The following is a 19,122-nucleotide window of genomic DNA, read 5'->3' on the forward strand; positions in this document are numbered from 1 at the left end:
ATTTTTTCTTTAATAAAAACCGTAGAGTTGTTAATCAATCCAGTAACCAGTGTTGCCTTTGTCATCCAAATACATCATATTTTAAAGCAGTACACCTAGAGTTCTCTTTTTGTAGCATTTTCATTAACTTTCATAATTTCACCATTGTTTGATGTAGCTTTCAGAAAATCCATTCATTGCTCACATCCTTTCACTGTGATATTTATCATGTAAAGTAGAATTAATCCTGCAAATAAGAGCTTAGGTGTAAGGTGGTGGCGGGGGGGCAGGGCGTGCGGGGGCGGTGTGGGGAGCACGGCGACAGAGAGCCACTTTGGGGGAAAATGTATCATTCGTTTTTCTGCTGTTAACGAAGAGAACCATTTCCTAGGGAATTGGACTGACAGGTTTCTGCATATGTAGGGCAGAAACATCCTCTAGGATTTCTGACTTAGTGTTGGAAAGAACCCTGAACTGGGGCTCAGGAGATTGAGGTTTTTGTCCCAGCTCTGCCTCCAGTTGGTATGAGTGAACTCTGTCCAGTTCATTTCTCTAGGGCAGATGCCCTTAGGGTGAAATAAAATTGACTAGATGATCTTCAGTCTCTGAGAAATAGGACTTTATGTTTCCCTATCTCATGATAGTCTTCTTTGTTTCTTACAGTTGTTGGATTAAAGATGATTCTATCTTTTACATCTCAGTGGTGGCTTATTTTTGCCTCATATTTCTCATGAATCTCTCCATGTTCTGCACTGTTCTTGTTCAACTGAATTCTGTGAAATCCCAAATCCAGAAGACTCGGCGGAAGATGATCCTGCATGACCTCAAAGGCACAATGAGCCTGACATTCTTACTTGGCCTCACCTGGGGGTTTGCATTTTTTGCTTGGGGACCCATGAGGAACTTTTTCTTGTATTTGTTTGCCATTTTTAACACTTTGCAAGGTAACTGGTGCTTTTTTGCCTTTTCTGTGGCCAGCTACACATGCAGCAAAGCTTTTGTTGCTTTGGAAAATAATCACCTGTTGGAAACATTAACTAGATGTTAGTCTTCATTAAATGCACCCACAGCCCACTCTCTCTTGCTCAGTGGTATAGGGAGAAGCCCAGATAGGTAACCCAACTTTAGGTAATTGGAAATGTCTATATCAAACACTGATTGGCAATACTTCTTATAGTGTTCATTGTATCAACACATTGTGCTAGAAAATGTACAGATTCACACTCACGTTGACTTTTTGAGGTACACAATCCAGCTAAACATAGCAATTAACTGGAAAGCAAAAACATTAAAGTTTTGACCCCATAGGCTCTATCTGCATCTGATATCCTAATATTTTGGGAAAGAGCCAGGCTAGACTATCATAGAATCATACAGGAATGAAGGTTAAAATCAAAGGGCTGTGGGAAAGGCCAAGGTTGTAGCCTTGAGTTTGCTGTAAAACAACCTTTAAAAAGTTACAATAATTGGTTGAATTAGATGATCCTAAGCTAAAGGCCCTAGAGCTCTTTTAATTATTTTCCTTTATTCCGATGAAATGAACAAATAATCAATGAAGTGATGAAATGGTAGACAAAAGATGGCATGAGAAGTAAAAGCTAGGGGCCGGGTGTGATGGCTCGTGCCTGGAATCCCAGCACTTTTGGAGGCCGAGGCAGGCAGATCACTTGAGGTCAGGAGTTTGAAACCAGCCTGGCCAACATGGTGAAACCCCGTCTCTACTAAAAAATATAAAAATTATCTGGGCATGGTGGTGTGTGCCTGTAGTCCCAGCTACTTGGGAGGCTGAGGCAGGAGAATTGCTCAAACTCTGGGAGGCAGAGGTTGCAGTGAGCTATGATCGTGCCACTGCACTCCAGCCTGGGCAACAAAGAGAGACTCTGTCAAAAAAAAAAAAAAAAGCTAGAGTCTGGTTCATATAGCTCTGAATAATTGCTGACGTTCATCTTAACTTGATTTTGCCTATTAAAAATATTGGGGGGAAGAGGCATGCAAAATGATTTTGTGTGAGTCTCTAATTCTACCCCATACTTTTATCCTCAAGTGTCGTCCAGTCCATTTGGGCTACTGGGACAGGCTGAGAGTCAAGTTGGCATTTCATTGAGTTAGAGTCTCCCTTCGTGCTCTCCACTATTTTTTTTTCATTCAATAAACCCTTATTTTCCATACTGAAGCCCACTGATGGTACCATGGGATGCTCCCACAAGGAAAAAGTTCTATGGTCAAATAACTTTGGGAAATGTGGCAAATTACATTCCCCCTTTCTTGGAATAGCACTGTATACATTAGCATGGTAAAAGCTCTATTATGAAAAAAAAAAAACCTTTAAAAAGTTGTTTTAATGTAGTGTCTTAAAAACCTCTGAACCTTTTATTGTGGTCATTGTTAATCCTTGAGGAACCTTGAGAAAAATAAATTGACATGCAGTTATTATATGACAGGCACTTGCAAAGTGCTGCGGAGTTGAGGGGGTGGGAAGCAATGTAGCAGAAGGCATGGTTTTTGCATTTATGTTTTAGGACTCAAGAAACTATCTTATTTTAGAGCAATGAGGTGGATCAACGGAAACTTTTTGTCCCACCAGATCCTGCCAACCATATACATCCATGTTCTAATTGGAATGTAAGAAGTCACAAAATATGTTGTTCTTCCTTCACATGCCATTTTTATTGCCTCTGGTAGTAGGAATGGAATTTTTAGAAACTCTCAATACCATCCTCGCTTGGTTCCCTTTGAGGCTACTGGCACTTGGTTGAATTCTAGTGTAGAACTGAAGGTTGTATTCTAGTGTAGGACTGAGGCCCTGGTGATGGTTCTACACTTTTTCTCTGGATAGAACTGTCTGGCCCACACTACAGTATTCTAACCCGATGCTCTAACCTCAAGAACTAACCAGTCATGGTATAGAATGTCCACGGAAACGGTTTAGAACCCAGGTGCCTGTGAAGACTTCATCCACAGTGGTAACTCCAGGCTTCTCTTTGGCTCAGTGATTCTGAGGAGAAATGTACTCACTCTGTGGAAAGAGGGGTTAAAGGAAAGCTGGCAAAAGATCAAGAAAGCTAGGCAATTTCGAGCTTATAAAGGAGGGGCAGGGGTGTTTTCAAAACCACTCTTATGGTGGAAAGTAGCATCTAAGGAAGGAGCCTGCATGGATAGAAGCAGAATTTAATAGGATATTTCTTTTCTTTTCAACATTTATTTCAGATTCAGGGGGTAGATGTGCAGGTTTGTTAGCTGGGTATATCATGTCATGTTGAGGCTTGGGGTATGAATGATCCCATCATCTAGGTAGTAAGCATAGTACCCAATAGTTAGCTTTTTAACCCTTACTTTTTCCCTCTTCTCCCCCTAATAGTCCCCAGTTGTCTACTGTTGCCATCTTTATGTCCATGTGTACCCCATGTTTAGCTTTCACTTTTAAGTGAGAACATGCAGTACTTGGTTTTCTGTTCCTTCATTAATTCACTTAGCGTAATAGCTCCTAGCTGCATCCATGCTGCTGCAAATGACATGATCTCATTCTTTTTTTATAGCTGTGTAGTATTCCATGGTGGCTATGTAGACAGTTTCTTTATCCAATCCACCTTTAATGGGCACCTAGTTTGATTCCATGTCTTTGCTATTGTGAATATTGTTGCAATGAACATAAGGGTACATGTGTCTTTTTGGCAGAGTGATCTGTTTTCTTCTGGATATATACCCAATAATGAGATTGCTGAGTCAAATAGTAGCTCTGTTTTAATTTCTTTGAGAAATCTTCAAACTGCTTTCCACAGTGGCAGAACTAATTTACATTCCCACCAACAGTATATAAGTGTTCTAATTGGGTATTTCTTGAAAACTAAAATCAAAGTCCCATAGATCCAGCACCAAAAGAGCCAAGCTGTCTCTGTCTGTCAGATATGCCTTATGCCCATCAAGCACAAAGTCTTGCCAGTCCTGCCTAAAATGACTGCAAGATAGCATGTGCCATCTTGTAGCAAGGGAGTTTTCAGAGCTCAGAGTTTCAAATTCAAGACACACACACACACACACACACACACACACACACACACACAACCCGAATAACCTCCAAAACAAACAGTGGAACAAGTGAACAAAGTAGTCGTTTAAAAGACAAATGACAAGCTTGCAATGCTGGCTGAAGGGGATGGGGGCGACCTGTGGTCAAGTGGGAAAAAATTATGCTCATGATGAGCTATTTGTGAAGGAGGAATGCACAAATAAAAATGCAGGTGACAAAAACCTGACATCTTCCCTCATGCCTGTGTTTTCCTAGTGAGTAAGCAGATCAATCTGTTATGGGAAAGGAAAAGGAAAGCTGTCAGGCAGAGGGGGAGAGTTGGCAGGCAGTTCATTGGAATTCACAGAATAACCTTTTAAGTCGGAAAACTAAACTCCATGCAAGAAATCAGAGTAGTAATAGGTGCTTGATGTCACTGTCACCCCTTGTACATGCTGAAGTTGGAGGAGTTTTGCCTGCTCTGAGACTGTGGTTTGCTCTCCTCGGGGTGCTGCACCGCCTTCCAGGTGGCTGCTGCTCAGAAAAACAGTGAACACTGCTGAATTCATCCCCGCAGTTGTTTGGTTACACATGGAGATAAAACCCTTGGGAGAGTTAGCGAGACATGCCATTCCGTTTAGCCTCCAGATTGCTGCCTCCCACCTGGAATCCGAGTCTCAGGGCTGGGGCTAGGGAGCCAAGATCTTCCCAATCAAACTTCCCATTGAGTGACAGGAAGTCACTTGCCTCTGCCTGAAACTTTCCAGGGACTAAGAGCTCACCATTCTGTAAAGCAAAGCATTTAACTTCTTATCAGCTCTGATGTGGTACCAGTTTTCCTTACCTGAGGCTAGTATAGTACAGTAGTTAAGCCCTTGTGTTCTATAGTCAGACTGCCTGCATTCAGAACTGGTGCTGCTAGCTCCATGTTAGCCCTGTGACCTGGGTCAAGTTTACTAGACTTCTTGGACTCCAAGTTCCCTCAACTATAAAAATGAGACTAATAGTACAATGCCTGCCATATACTAATTGCTAAATAAACACTAGCTGTGATTTGTTAGTACATGGTTGCTCTGAAACTTTCTTCCATTGCTCCTGGTTCTAACCGGGCAACTGTACAGATACAAGCCTAGTTTGTCCTTTTCATGACAGCCCTTTCAGATCTGTGGCTAAGTAAGCATCTCTTCTCACCCTATGTTTTCCACTCCAAGTTTTTTTTTAATCTAGATACAATATCCCAACTCTTTCAGCTTTTTTTCACTATCCTTCTTCACCGTATTCTTGAATACTTCTGTTTGTCATCTTCCTCTCCTCCCAAACTGAACATGGTGCTGGTGGGAGGTATGGTCAAACAAGGACAGAATATGGCAGGAGACTGTCACTCGCCTCAGTCAAGATTCTTTACTTCCAGTAGTGCTGTAGCTGAAATTTGCTTTGGGACATTTACAATAGACTGGTGCTCAGTTTACAATGGGTTAAGACCTCTTTGATACTAATCATTTACCTTCAGGACAACCAGCCAATTTAGAGGCAAGCTGAACCTGTATAGAGAATAAAGGTTTCCAAACTGCACTTGGATCAAAATAAATATTTTGAGGCTCAAGCAGTTATCACTATGTTGTAGATGGATGTGCGAGTTTGTGTATCAAGTGTCTTGGAGTTCAAATCAACATACATTTATTGAGCGGCCGCACTTAGTGTATCAAAGACAAAGGGCAAAATGACATAAATATGAAAAGGAAACATATCTCGGCCCTCAAAGACTCAACAGCTAGGTGGAGAAATGGGAAATAGACGAATAATTGTATGGCTACATATAGCAAATAATACAAGAAACAAAATGTTATGAGAGTTCAGAAGTGGGAAAAATGAGTTTCAGTTTGAGGCATCTGGAAAGATTTTGTGGATAAAGACTTTTTGTAATGGAACATAAATATAAGTCAGGCTATTGACAGGAGTTATTTCTGCCAATCCTACCCCCAACTGCAGGAAATCTAATTGGTCCTCCAGGGAATTTGCAATCAAGATAATTTTTTTTTTAAGACAGAGTCTTGCTCTATCACCCAGGCTGGAGTGTAGTGGCTTGATTCTGACTCACTGCAACCTCCGCCTCCTGGGTTCAAGTGATTCTCAGCCTCCCAAGTAGACGGGATTACAGACATGTGCCACCACACCCAGCTAATTTTTGTATTTTTAATAGAGATGGGGTTTCTCTGTGTTGACCAAGTTGGTCTTGAACTACTGACTTCAAGTGATCCACCTGCCTCTGCCTCCCAAAATGCTGGGATTACAGGCGTGAGACATCACGCCTGGCCAAGATAATCTTAAGTCATATTTTTATCTTCCAAGGACATATTTTAGAGGGTGGGAATGAGAAATGGCCAGCACTGCTGGCAAAGACTTTCAGCCCTTCCCTCCCCCTTGCAGGACAAAATCAGGGCTGGCATTAGAAGTTGAGGGTCAAATCCATGGTTTCCACATGGTGTCATTATGCCAAAAAGCATGTGTAATAGTTATTTATTGCTATATAACACATTAACAATTTTTACCAGCCTAAAACAACAAAAATTTATTATTTCACACAGTGTCTGAGGATCAGGAATTCAGGGGCAGCTTAGCTGGGTGTTTCTGACTCAGGGACTGTCGTGAAGTTGTAGTCAAGCTGTCATCTGGGCCTGCAGTGATCTGAAAACTTGACTGGGGCTGGGGAATGTGCTTCCAGGAAGGCTCATCCACATGGTTGTGGACTGGAAGCCTCAGTTCCTCACCATGTGGGCCTCTCCACAGGGATGCCAGGATGTCCTCAGGACAAAATACTTGGCTTCCTTCAGAGTGATGAGAGAGGGCTCGCTCTTTTATAACCTAACCTTGGAAGTGACATGCCATCCCTTCTGCTATATTCTATTGGTACAATGTGGAAGTAAACTACACAAGGATGTCAATGCCAGGATGTGGGGATCATTGAGAGCAATCTCAGAGAGGGGCTACCTTACCTCTCACACTCTAGGATGAACAGCAGTCCAGGGGCAAAACAGTGGTTGACATGAAGTCTTGATATAGACATTTTTGCCTTTGGGAGGGAGTCTACAAAGACAAGATCAGAAAGCCAGTAATGGCCCTGGGGTTCCTTGAAAGTAGTATCTCTCATGACAGAAGCAGGCCTGAGTCAGGGCATTGGTGACAGCTGGTGAAAGAAACCAAAAAAGACTGACCTTCTTCTTCTGGCTTAGGATTCTTCATTTTTGTGTTTCACTGTGTGATGAAGGAGAGTGTGCGGGAGCAGTGGCAGATACACCTCTGCTGTGGGTGGTTGCGATTGGATAACTCTTCTGGTAAGATGTCAGTTTGGATGAAGTTTTGAATATTACATGTTTTACAAAACTGATCAGATTAATTTGTCTCCTAACTTGAGTACTTACAGCATATCAGCATCAAAACACAGGCTGTTTCCATGTCATAAAAATGATTTGTGCTTTTGAGCTGAGATGAGTGAAGTCAAGTGAAGAATGTGACTTGGGCCATATTTTAAACTAGGGATGCTTTTGTTTTGGCCCAGATTCCCTGGATTGCTTACCTTCACTGTCACATCAGTCTCAATTCAATTAAAAGAACACTGAATGCGTGCCTACTGTGTTCCAGGCACTGGGTCTCAGGGGCTTCTGGCTGGTAGCCAACAGTGGGTTGAGTGGATGTAGGAAGCAAGGAGTGGTGGTGGAGATGGAGAGAACTTATAAACATTCCTAAGATGCCTGGCCAGTGGGCTGTACAGGTGTACTGATGGCCCACGAACTGGGGGATGTAGTGAACTCAGATGTTGCCTCTTAGCACTGGTGCTTCCCTTGAGAATGTTTCCACTGCAGGCAAACTGCTGTTCTATGTATCAAAAGGATCTTCCATTCAATTCAGGCAGCTTCTCTCAGTCTCAATACAAAGCCTAATCCATTTTCTTTAGTGAAGGCAGCACTTGAACTCTAAGATTCTACAAGTAGCACTGAGATTCCCCCCATTCCCCACTTTATTTTATTTTTTTTCTTCCAGTATTTTATTTTATTTATTTATTTTTTTTATTATACTTTAAGTTTTAGGGTACATGTGCACATTGTGCAGGTTAGTTACATATGTATACATGTGCCATGCTGGTGTGCTGCACCCACTAACTCGTCATCTAGCATTAGGTATATCTCCCGATGCTATCCCTCCCCCCTCCCCGCACCCCACAACAGTCCCCAGAGTGTGATATTCCCCTTCCTGTGTCCACGTGATCTCATTGTTCAATTCCCACCTATGAGTGAGAATATGAGGTGTTTGGTTTTTTGTTCTTGCGATAGTTTACTGAGAATGATGATTTCCAATTTCATCCATGTCCCTACAAAGGACATGAACTCATCATTTTTTATGGCTGCATAGTATTCCATGGTGTATATGTGCCACATTTTCTTAATCCAGCCAGAATCTACAATGAACTCAAACAAATTTACGAGAAAAAAACAAACAACCCCATTCCCCACTTTATGCTGGCCATATCAGCAACCTGCTGGTCCTTGTGCTCTGGGAAAAGCAGGCATCCTTGGTATGTGAATTGTCTCTTCCTATACCACACATTACAGTACAAACCTACTTCTTACAACTTCATAGAAAAGCTGACTCCTTCAGGTACCCGGAATGAACACTGTGCATCAAGCTTTGTTTTTTTGTTTTTGTTTTTGTTTTTGTTTTTTTTTTTGAGACAGAGTCTCGCTCTTGTTGCCCAGGCTGGAGTGCAATGGTGCCATCTCGGCTCACCGCAACTTCCGCCTCCCGGGTTCAAGTGATTCTCCTGCCTCAGCCTCCAGAGTAGCTGGGATTACAGGCATGCGCCACCCCGCCCGGCTAATTTTGTATTTTTTAGTAGAGACCGGGTTTCTCCATGTTGGTCAGGCTGGTCTTGAACTCCCGACCTCAGGTGATCCGCCCGCCTCGGCCTCCCAAAGTGCTGGAATTACAGGCGTGAGCCACTGCGCCTGGCCTAAACTTTGTATTTTTAAACCAGGTTATTGAAGTGTAATTTATATACCATACAATTCACTACTTTAAGTATAGAATTTCATGAGTTTTATATTTTTAACTTTTCTTGGTATCATTTCAGATGGGAGCAGCCGGTGTCAGATAAAGGTTGGATATAAACAGGAGGGACTAAAGAAAATCTTTGAGCACAAACTGTTGACGCCATCTCTCAAGTCAACTGCAACTAGCTCCACTTTCAAATCTTTAGGCTCTGCACAAGGCACACCTTCAGAAATAAGCTTTCCAAATGGTAAGAAAAAAAGGCTGTGTTGTCTACATTTATATTCCAGAGATATTGAATTAATGTGAGACCACATACTGGGTCTTGGATGATACTTCCTCTTCAAAACTAAATGCACATGTGCATGTGTATACCTCGACTCATTCTTGGCTGAGAAAGTGTGTATAGAAGCATAGAAATGTGTACAGAAGTGTGTATAGGTGTTTCTGTGCCTAGTAAATTTAGTAAGTATGAATGTGTTATTAGACTAATAGAGGAAAGAAGAGATGAGAGGTTAGAAAATTCATGAGTAATTAAAAACAATTGTCACAGACCATTAAAACCAGAAGGAACCTTAGACATTGTCTAGTCCAATCCGTTCATTTTACAGTTGAGGAACCTCAATCAGAGAAAAGGAAAATGCCTTATTGACAGTCACTGAGCCCATCTTTACCATCCAGTAGAACTGGGGCCAGTCACTCAGCCCTCAGCCATCCAGCAGAACTGGGGCCAGAATTCAGGTCTTCTGGCTCTCAGGGCTAGTCCTATCAAGAAAACAGAGATACACATCACTCTTAGATGCTGAGCTTCTTCCATAGGAAGCCATATTTCTAAGCTGAGACAGATGTTCAGTTGGGAATGGGGTGTTGTACCTAATTATGTAAAAAGAGAAAGTGTAGGAAAAGGATTGGCCTACAGGCTTAAAGTAAAGAGAAAGGCAAAGTGAGCAAGAACTTAAGAACTTCAGGATGATACTGTGATGAGTCTGCATTGTGTGCTTCTAGTTAGATGATAGTGCAGTGGTCTTTGGTTGCCTTTCTTTAAGACCAAAGTATACTCCAGTTCACACACACTTTGGTGGCCTGGCTGTAGTCATTCTCCTGCCTTCTCAGTGCTGGAGGTAGGACTGCCTCATTCGCTAGTATTTTTCTTTATGTTGGCTCCAAAAACCAGTTCTATGTCCAAGGGCTGAAGGCAATCTGGAAGCAGCATGGTGGGTTAAAAAAGCATCAAACTTGGAGTTGGAAGGCTTTGGTTCAGGTTCCAGCTCTGTCAGTCACTCTGTGACCTTGAGCACATCACTTCTCTGCTTGGAGCTACATTCTTTCTACCTTTCATATGAGGGGACTAGAATGGATAATCTCTTAAGTGCCTGCCAGTTTCAGGACCGTGTATGGGGCAACGCTATTTTCCAGTTTGGGCTGGTTGACTAGTGTATAGCATCTCAGTCTCCCATCTTTGTGTGGGAAAGTTAGTGATGCACATGAGAAAAACCTTTCCCTGGCCACAAGCATTTATCAAACTCTGGCCAAGTAACCTGTGGATATGTCTTGGTGCTCATATAAAGTCACTGGGGTGCCATGACATAGACAAGGCATGGGTTGTGGGAGCTCCTTAGTAGATAATAGTTGGGGCTGGTTGGAAAATAACATTTTTCAAGAGGGTTATTTAGCATTGGATTTCTTGATGTCCCTGGGGACTATTTAATTAGCAAATATACAGCCCAATGTGTACATATTTTGCTTCAGAGGATCAGTAGCAAATACCATATCCAGGATATTGATGTTGTCTTACCAAGCAATCGACCTGGAAAACCAACATTAAAGTGCTCATCAGTTGAGAGGAACTGAGCCAGTGGGGCAGGTAGACCTGCCACAGGTTCTAAAACTGAAATCTGGGTCCTTCCATTGTACTAGTGACAGCCAGAAGCTTGATTCTATTAGCAGAGAGTGAAAAATCATGCCCTCTGTACCACCAGGCATTCTCAAGCTTGAGAAATAGCCAAACTTTCAGTGCAAGAATATCAAATATGTAAGGGGTATAAATGTGTATGTTCACATTTTATGTCATCTTCTCTTGAAGGCCTCCGAGTTTGTACATAAATATCCTCTCCTAGGTTAAGGTTAAGGTCAATAATGCTGCCTCTTATTCACAATGTAGGAAGAACATATGCACTGGTTGTCCAAACAGTGCTGTCAGGATGAATTAATTCACCCCGGATTTTATATAAAACAGTCCAAAGAAAGCACCATATCCTTCCCTTCTCTTCTAATTGCTTTATTTTTTCCTTCATTTGATAAAATTTTCTTATGCTTCTACTATGTGCAAAGTCCCTGATGCCGCAGCTGAAAATTTTCTTTTTTTCTTTACTGCAGATGACTTTGACAAAGATCCTTACTGTTCCTCTCCTTGATTTGTGAAGTTGTGCCTAATTATGTAAAAAGAATATAATACCTGTGGAAATAAAAATGAATTCCAAGTGTATACTTGCTCGGGTGATGGGTGCACCAAAATCTCACAAATCACCACTAAATAATGTACTCATGTAACCAAATGCTACCTGTTCCACCAAAACCTATGGAAATTTAAAAAAAACAAAAATAAAAAGCAAAACAAAAATCCCAAAATGAATTCCATTCACAAACAGAATTTTTCAATAAATCCCAGTAGAGATACTTGCCTCCTCCCAACCCCTGATTGGGGAAAAGGTTGAATTTGTGAAACAATCTGCTCCAACCTTCTATTTTAATTATTATTTTGTAAGGGGAAGAATAACATTTGATAAATATTAAAGTCAGAATAATTCTCCTATTTGTCGTTATACTTATTTCTTTTTTGGATAAGATTTCAGGTTATTGTTATGATATATTAGAGGAGAAATTTCTACAGCATTGGAAATTTTGTTTTAAAAGCTTTAAGTATACACATCCTTAAAAAAATAAAAATCAAGACCAGGATCCTTACTTCCCTGCCATGGGAGCCAAACAATTTCAGGTGGTCAAAGTTTCAGGATGCCCAGTTGGCCTGAAACCCACAGAGGAAGTAGATAGGAAGAGCCACAAGGTCATACATTTTGGAAAAATACTCTGCCCTGTTGGCCTGTCATGACAAAGCACCTGAGATCCCCATTATTCAACTCACACTTTTGATTGAAGCTCTTATTAAAATGTAAACATGTTTTGTGGAAAGGGTGGGTCATCAATCCACAGACACCCATAAATTCCTTAGTAAGGATGAATTTTTCAGCCAATACAGCCCTTCAAGGAATAGCAAGCAGGGTCCTGAGGAATAAAACAGAACAGAAACTGTTCAAAGCTGGTGGTTCTCTCTAGGAAGGAAAGGCCAGGTTGGGGTGAGCAGAACAGTAGAGGGATGGAGTGCAAAAAGGGCCACCCAAAGGCAACAGAGTGATCAATGAAGACGAATTTTGCCAGCTTTGCCTTCTGTGGCTTCCCAGTCAGGTGTGCTGCTCACATTTGTCCTTGGATAGAAATAAGTAAAGGAGGAACATTCTGGAAGGATACACAAGCAACTGGTATCAGTGGTTGCCTTCAGGAAGGGTAACAGGGTGTCTGGGGGCAGAGGAGGAAGAGACATTTACTTTTCACCCTATACCTCTTTGTATCTTTTGAATCTTGTATTGAGAGAATATATTACTGCTTGGAGCAATAAATAAATGAATACATAAATAAATAAGGATAACCAGACCCTTCCAGTGAGAAAGATAAACACCTACATTTCAATACCAAAAATCAAGTTCCCCAGGACCCTTGTGAATATATATGATGCAGTGGGCTGTGGAGACAGCAGAATTGGGTTCAAATCCCAGCTCTGTCACTTTCTAGATGTGCGACCTCGTGATGTAATAATGATCATGCATGCATCCTAAAATTGAAGTGAAACTGAAATAAGATGAGGTCTGAAAATGTTCTAGCACAGTGTAACACAGTATATCTTCACTCCTTTCTCTTTCAAACCCCAATCAGCTTACCACTCATCCCCTCATGGCCCCAACCTACCATGTCTACCCCATTAAAGGTATCACATTGATCTTCTAAGCAAAATTTAATGCTGACTACCAAACAGACTACAGCACTGGTGCCAGTCACTGGTATAAAACTCCTAGGTCTCCATTGTTCCCCCTAACACCTCACATAATATAAAAATTAGGTTGGCCCTTAGGCCCCCGAATATCTGCCATCAGAGTCAAATCCATTGTTCCCCATGTGGCTCCATGTGTACTTTTTTGGTAGGGAAAGGTGAGTGAGTGTGTGTGTGTGTGTGTGTGTGTGTCCGTGTGTGTGAAGGGACTAACATGAATAATGATCAAAGTGTCTTGAATGTTACATGTCTTTGAACCGAAATATTAAGTCACTTTCACTCAAAAATAGATTTAAGGACAAGACTTGGTTGCAATTAGCACTTTTACAAATAAATGCATTTTGCAAGTGATTTGATTTGGGGGATCATTTTGGCTGTTAAAATGCCCATGATTGTATTTATTTTCAACAAGTAATAAAACCTTGATTGTTCTGCTGCTGCTGGAGTGATAAATGTACAGCCTATCTCTAATGACCTGACAGACTGTCGAGAACAGAAACGTTATTTGATAGAAAAGTTCATGATTCCTATCATGACACCCCTTGCTAATTAGGAAAACACAGGCTTTCTGCAATTTCAAAGGCAGTTTGAAATTGCAGGGAAAACACTGATTAAATATCTTACTGGCATCCTTTGGCTTGCTTTTCCTGGGCGCACAAAATGACTGATACTTGTGTGAAGGTGGACCCAAGTAATTATGGAAAAAAGACCCTAGAAACTTTGGACTGCTTTCAATCAACAATCAACTCCCAAGTATTCACAGAGTCCTGACATGGAGGGAAAGATATAGACACATCATACTTAGGCCACTACCTCCAGCAGTTTACTGTATACTTGGGGAGACCAGATGCATACACTGGAATAGTGAATGATTAGAGCAAGGATATGATAGAAGAAAGTGCTTTACAGGTAGGAAGTCACAGAGGATTTAGTCAGGCTGAGAGTAGGGTATTCCAGGTGGGGCCAATGGTGGCGGGGGTGGACATTTGAATAAGACAGGACTCTATTTCTCAATACCACAGGCAAATTGTCTTTATTAAGCATTGATCAGCAAATTTACAAAGCCCCCTGGAACCTCAGGGCATGGACTTTTCATTCTCTGCTGCACCCTGGGTACCCTGTGGGCAAGTGGCAAACACTGAATGGTACTAAACTCTCTCTGAGGCATGTCTGAGGAAGCTCCTGCGCAGAATCCTAATCCTTATCATTTTGTCCAAAGTCCCAAAGATGACAGTGACCATCTGTGATGGCCCACTTCCCCTGTACCCAGGAATATGGGAAGGTTGGGGAGGGGGCAGAAAGCTAAGAGGAGGTAAGGCTTGTATCTCTAATAGCTCAAGCCTATGATGTGTTTCTGGTCCTGACCTTCAAGCATTTAGGGTACACAAGGAGCTTGGAGCAACGAAGGAAGGACCTAATTATACCTGTCTTGATTAGGCAAAACCAGTGGAATGGATTAAATTTATACTTATAATGTCTGGTAACTCATAGACACTCCATAAATATTTGTCACATGCCTGAGTGCATAAATGGTCTAAAATACATGAGCATAGGAAAGCAATGGCTGACTTTTCCTAATCTAGGGTTTGTTATCTTAGTGCTGAGTAGACCTACGCTTTCCATTATTATATAAACTCCATTAGGGCAAGAACCTTGTTTGTATTTTTTACCATTGTACTCTCAGTACCTAGCACAATGTTTTACTCTAGGTTCTTTGGTTGCCAGCCACATAAACCAAATGTCTTTGAGCTGACATTATTGTCAGTTCTGACTAACCAAGGGGACTTGTTGAAAGTGTTTTGGGAATTCAAAACATTTATGGGAAAGTTAAAGAAGAGGTCTAGACATTGTGGAAGACAGTGTGAAGATTCCTCAAAGACCTAAAGACAGAGCTACCATTTGACCCAGCAAGCCAAATGGTATATACCCAAAGAAATATAAATCATTCTATTATAAAGACCCATGCATGCATATGTTCATTGCAGCACTCTTCACAAAGAGAGGAATCAACCCAAATGCCCATCAGTGATAGACTGGATAAAGAAAATGTGGTACATAGACACCGTGGAATACTACGCAGCCACAAAAAAGAAGGAGATCATGTCCTCTGCAGGGACATGGGTGAAGCTGGAGGACATTATCCTTAGCAAACTAATGCAGGAACAGAAAACCAAATACTGCATGTTCTCACTTATAAGTGAGAGCTAAATGATGAGAACACATGGACACATAGAGAAGAACAATACACACCGGGGCCTTGCAGAGGGTGGAGGGTGGGGGGAGGGAGAGGATCAGGAAAAACAATTAATGGGTACTAGGCTTAATACCTAGGTGATGAAATAATCTGTACAACAAACCCCCATGACACAAGGTTACCTGTGTAACAAGTCTGCACTTGTACCACTGAACTTAAACGTTTTAAAAAAAGAAAGAAGAAAAAAGAACAGGGCTTGAAAAAGGACAGGAGTCTACAAAGCAGGAACCATAGTGATTGTCTCCTAACAGGGAAGTAGACTCATGCGGGCGCCATTACTGGGAAGAATAAACAGTAATTTCTATGCTCATACTACTAGCTTAAGACTCAAAATCCTGTGAGCCTGTATCTAATCAGCTGAGCTTAAATTTTGTGCTATACTGAGCAGTGAGAGGAAGGATGTGGCAGAAAAAATCTTCAGGAGCACTTTGGTTTTGATAGTGGTAGAAGTATGAATTTACCATCCCACCAAGAATATCCACAATGGGGAAGAAGTCATTCTACAAAAAGAAAGTAGGGTGTTAGGAATGAATGAGTAGGTAGGAAAAAACCCCACATGTTCACCTCACACAATATAGAAGTGGATATACTTTGGTTGAATGATAACTAATTCAGTAGCATCCTTCTTCAGTGAGGGTGGGATAGTGCTAAGAAGAATAGATCTCTCCCCTACCCTGAGGCCTCATTCAGGTGAGAGGTGAAGCCAGCTGGACTTCCTGGGTCGAGTGAGGACTTGGAGAACTTTTCTGTCTAGTTAAAGGTTTGTAAACACACCAATCAGCACTCTGTAAAAACGCACCAATCAGTGCTCTGTGTCTAGCTAAAGGTTTGTAAACACACCAATCAGTACTCTGTAAAAACACACCAATCAGCGCTCTGTGTCTAGCTAAAGGTTTGTAAATGCACCAATCAGCACTCTGTAAAAACGGACCAATCAGTACTCTGTAAAATGGACCAATCAGCACTCTGTAAAATAGACCAATCAGTAGGATGTGGGCGGGGCCAAATAAGGGAATAAAAGCTGTCCACCCGAGCCGGCAGTGGCAATCCACTCGGGTTCCCTTCCACGCTGTGGGAGTTTTGTTCTTTGCTCTTAGCAATGAATCTTACTGCTGCTCAGTTTTTGGGTCCGCACTACCTTTAAGAGCTGTAACACTCACTGCGAACGTCTGCAGCTTCCCTCCTGAAGCCAGTGAGACCACGAAGCCCCCGGGAGGAACAAACAACTCCTGAAGCGCCATCTTTAAGAGCTGTAACACTCAGGGGGAAGGTCTGCGGCTCCACTCTTGAAGTCAGCGAGACCACGAACCCACCAGAAGGATGAAACTCCAGACACAGCTGAACATCTGAATGAACAAACTCCGGACACACCATCTTTAAGAACTGTAACACTCACTGGGAGGGTCGCCGGCTTCATTCTGGAAGTCAGTGAGACCAAGAACGCAGCAGAAGGAACCAATTCCAGACACATAGGTATTCACTAGTTACGTTTTAAGACTAAAGTGAATCAGGATGTGCTGAGAGAGCTGAAGTGTTAAAGATAAGCGTCCCAGAATGATAGATAAGAGTGCTGTTAGAAAAGGTGATCTTTAGAGATACTGGGTACAGAAGTTGGCCTCACTCTAAGGAAAGCCAATGTATTAAAATGAGCTTTATTGTTTGTCTACGTTGTCACCTTGCCATGTCTCTCCAGACAAGCACCTCTTCAGCCCCAATACTAGGAAATATTCCCCAAACCTCCATTCTGCACCCTAATTACTTAAGCCCAATAAAGACCCGGATCATGCAGGCTGGGAAAGTGTGATTCATTATAAAGTATACCTTTATGTCTTTGCACTTGAAAGGGCATTTTTTTAATTACACTTTTTGAAGGTGCTTCACCATAAAGCTTTTTATGAGTTCCCTTAAATATTTGAAAATATATTTTGATCCCAACTTCCAGGACCTTTCAGCTCTGATTAAGGAGTGCTCTGTTGTCTGAGAAGGAAAGCTAGGAGGAGTGTTACTTCCATTCTCCACCTCACCAGGCTAATGGCATTATGTTCACAAAGTGAGATTCCTAAAAAGGGAGAGGCAGAAGAAATCAATATTAAGTAGTAACTTCAAATACTGAAAAAATTTCATCTCATCTAAATGCGTAAGAAAAGTACAGATGTTTCCTTAATATATGCAGTCCTATGCAAATGATTATGTAAATTAAACAAAAAGTTGGGACTGGCAGATTCCCAAGTTTGCTAAGACTTACTTATGTTAACCTAGAATTCATCATAGAAACAAGGGTAAGGATTGTTGTTTACATCTCCTTCACTTAGATGTGAGGGGAGGCAAGATTGAAGGATATGCTACCTTAATAAAGTGAAGACACTCAAATCCGGGGACATGCTAGATAGATGGTTAGATGAGTAGATAGACAGTTTTCACCTTCAAAATGTTAGCCAACTCATTCATCATGCTCAGTTGGTTGTGGGCAGCAATGGGACTAGAAATGGAAATGAATCTGAGTTGGAGTGAATTTTGATGAAGGCCTAGTTCATGCAAGAAAGATTTTTTTCTTTTTTACATCCTCAGCTCACAAATTCCAAGAGGAATGGAGAATTTTAGAGACAGTTACAGGGGAAGAATAAAGACCTAGTGTAACGGGCTATATCAAATCTTCATGCACTGGCCCTTTCAGAAGGAGAGACATAAAGATATACTTTATCATGGATCGCTCTTTCCTACCCTGCATGATCTGGGTCTTTAGTGGACCTGAGAAATCAGGTTTCTTAGGTTTCTAACTATAGATAGATAGTAACTAACTATAGATAGACAGTTAGGTTTCTAATTACAGATAGATAGATGAATGAGCTGGCTAACATTTTTAAGTTGAAAACTATCTATCTATAGTTAAAAACCTAAGAAACTGGGGCTGGTGACAGTGCAGATAGTGAGGGATAGAAGAGAATTTTTCTCTTCTCTCTGCCTCCTTTAGACCTGAGTCTAGAAATATGAGCAGGTAAAGGTTTCAGAGAGGCTTGGCAGTCTTTGAATCTGGTAGCTCTCTAAGTCCAGCATGCTAGTCATTATGGGCACTTCCTCTGTGCCCATTTCTATGCTAAGCTCCGTAGAGGATACAATGAAGTAAAGGCCACAGTCCTACACACATAAAAATGGGCTGTCCTTCGTGTAATAAAACATCCATACCTACAACAGTTTGTCCACAGTAACATATGTTAATTCTTAAAATTGTGTGGTAGAGACCTTGAAGCATAACAAATAGTAACTACTTAATTACTAGTCCAATTCCACAAATATTTATTGAGAATCCACTATACTTGATGTACTGAACAAGACAGTTCCTAAACTTGTCTGGGGAGACAAGTGTGCAGTAACAATACACTATTTGATACTTTCATATGCTAGGAAGTTTCAATTTATACAACTGGCAGAAGGGCAAACAGGTATAGCCTGTTTGGAAAACTGTTCTGTAGTTTCTAAGAAAGTTAAACACACCCTATGACCCAGCAATTCTCCTGGGCATATACACCCTAGAGAAATGCAAACGTGTCAACCAAATATTTGCACACAAATGTTCATAGCCACATTATTCATAACAGCCAACATGGTGGAAACAACCAAAACGTCCATCAGCAGGTGAATGGATAAACAAATTGTGGGACATTCATCCAATGGAATACTATATAACAGTAAAAAATGAACTATGCACACACACGACAACATGGATAAATATAAAACATG

At 41.4% G+C, this 19,122-nt stretch overlaps 1 protein-coding gene across 4 annotated transcripts in view; it reads left to right on the top strand.

The window, feature by feature from the left end:
• Positions 1-11,841, top strand: part of ADGRG4 (adhesion G protein-coupled receptor G4) — a 115,928-nt gene extending 104,087 nt beyond the window's left edge. For 3 of the 4 annotated variants that reach the window (XM_011531269.3, XM_047441830.1, XM_011531271.3), the window contains 4 exons: positions 643-923; positions 7,216-7,317; positions 9,111-9,278; positions 11,405-11,513. In XM_011531269.3, coding sequence (XP_011529571.1) covers positions 643-923; positions 7,216-7,317; positions 9,111-9,278; positions 11,405-11,442 — 589 coding nt within the window. In that variant the 3' untranslated portion in view covers positions 11,443-11,513. Of the gene's footprint in view, positions 1-642; positions 924-7,215; positions 7,318-9,110; positions 9,279-11,404 lie in introns of all 4 variants that reach the window. The other variant, NM_153834.4, reaches the window with a different exon arrangement.

The sequence above is a fragment of the Homo sapiens genome, chromosome X (genome assembly GCF_000001405.40).
Source record: "Homo sapiens chromosome X, GRCh38.p14 Primary Assembly".
NCBI classification, from domain to species: domain Eukaryota; kingdom Metazoa; phylum Chordata; class Mammalia; order Primates; family Hominidae; genus Homo; species Homo sapiens.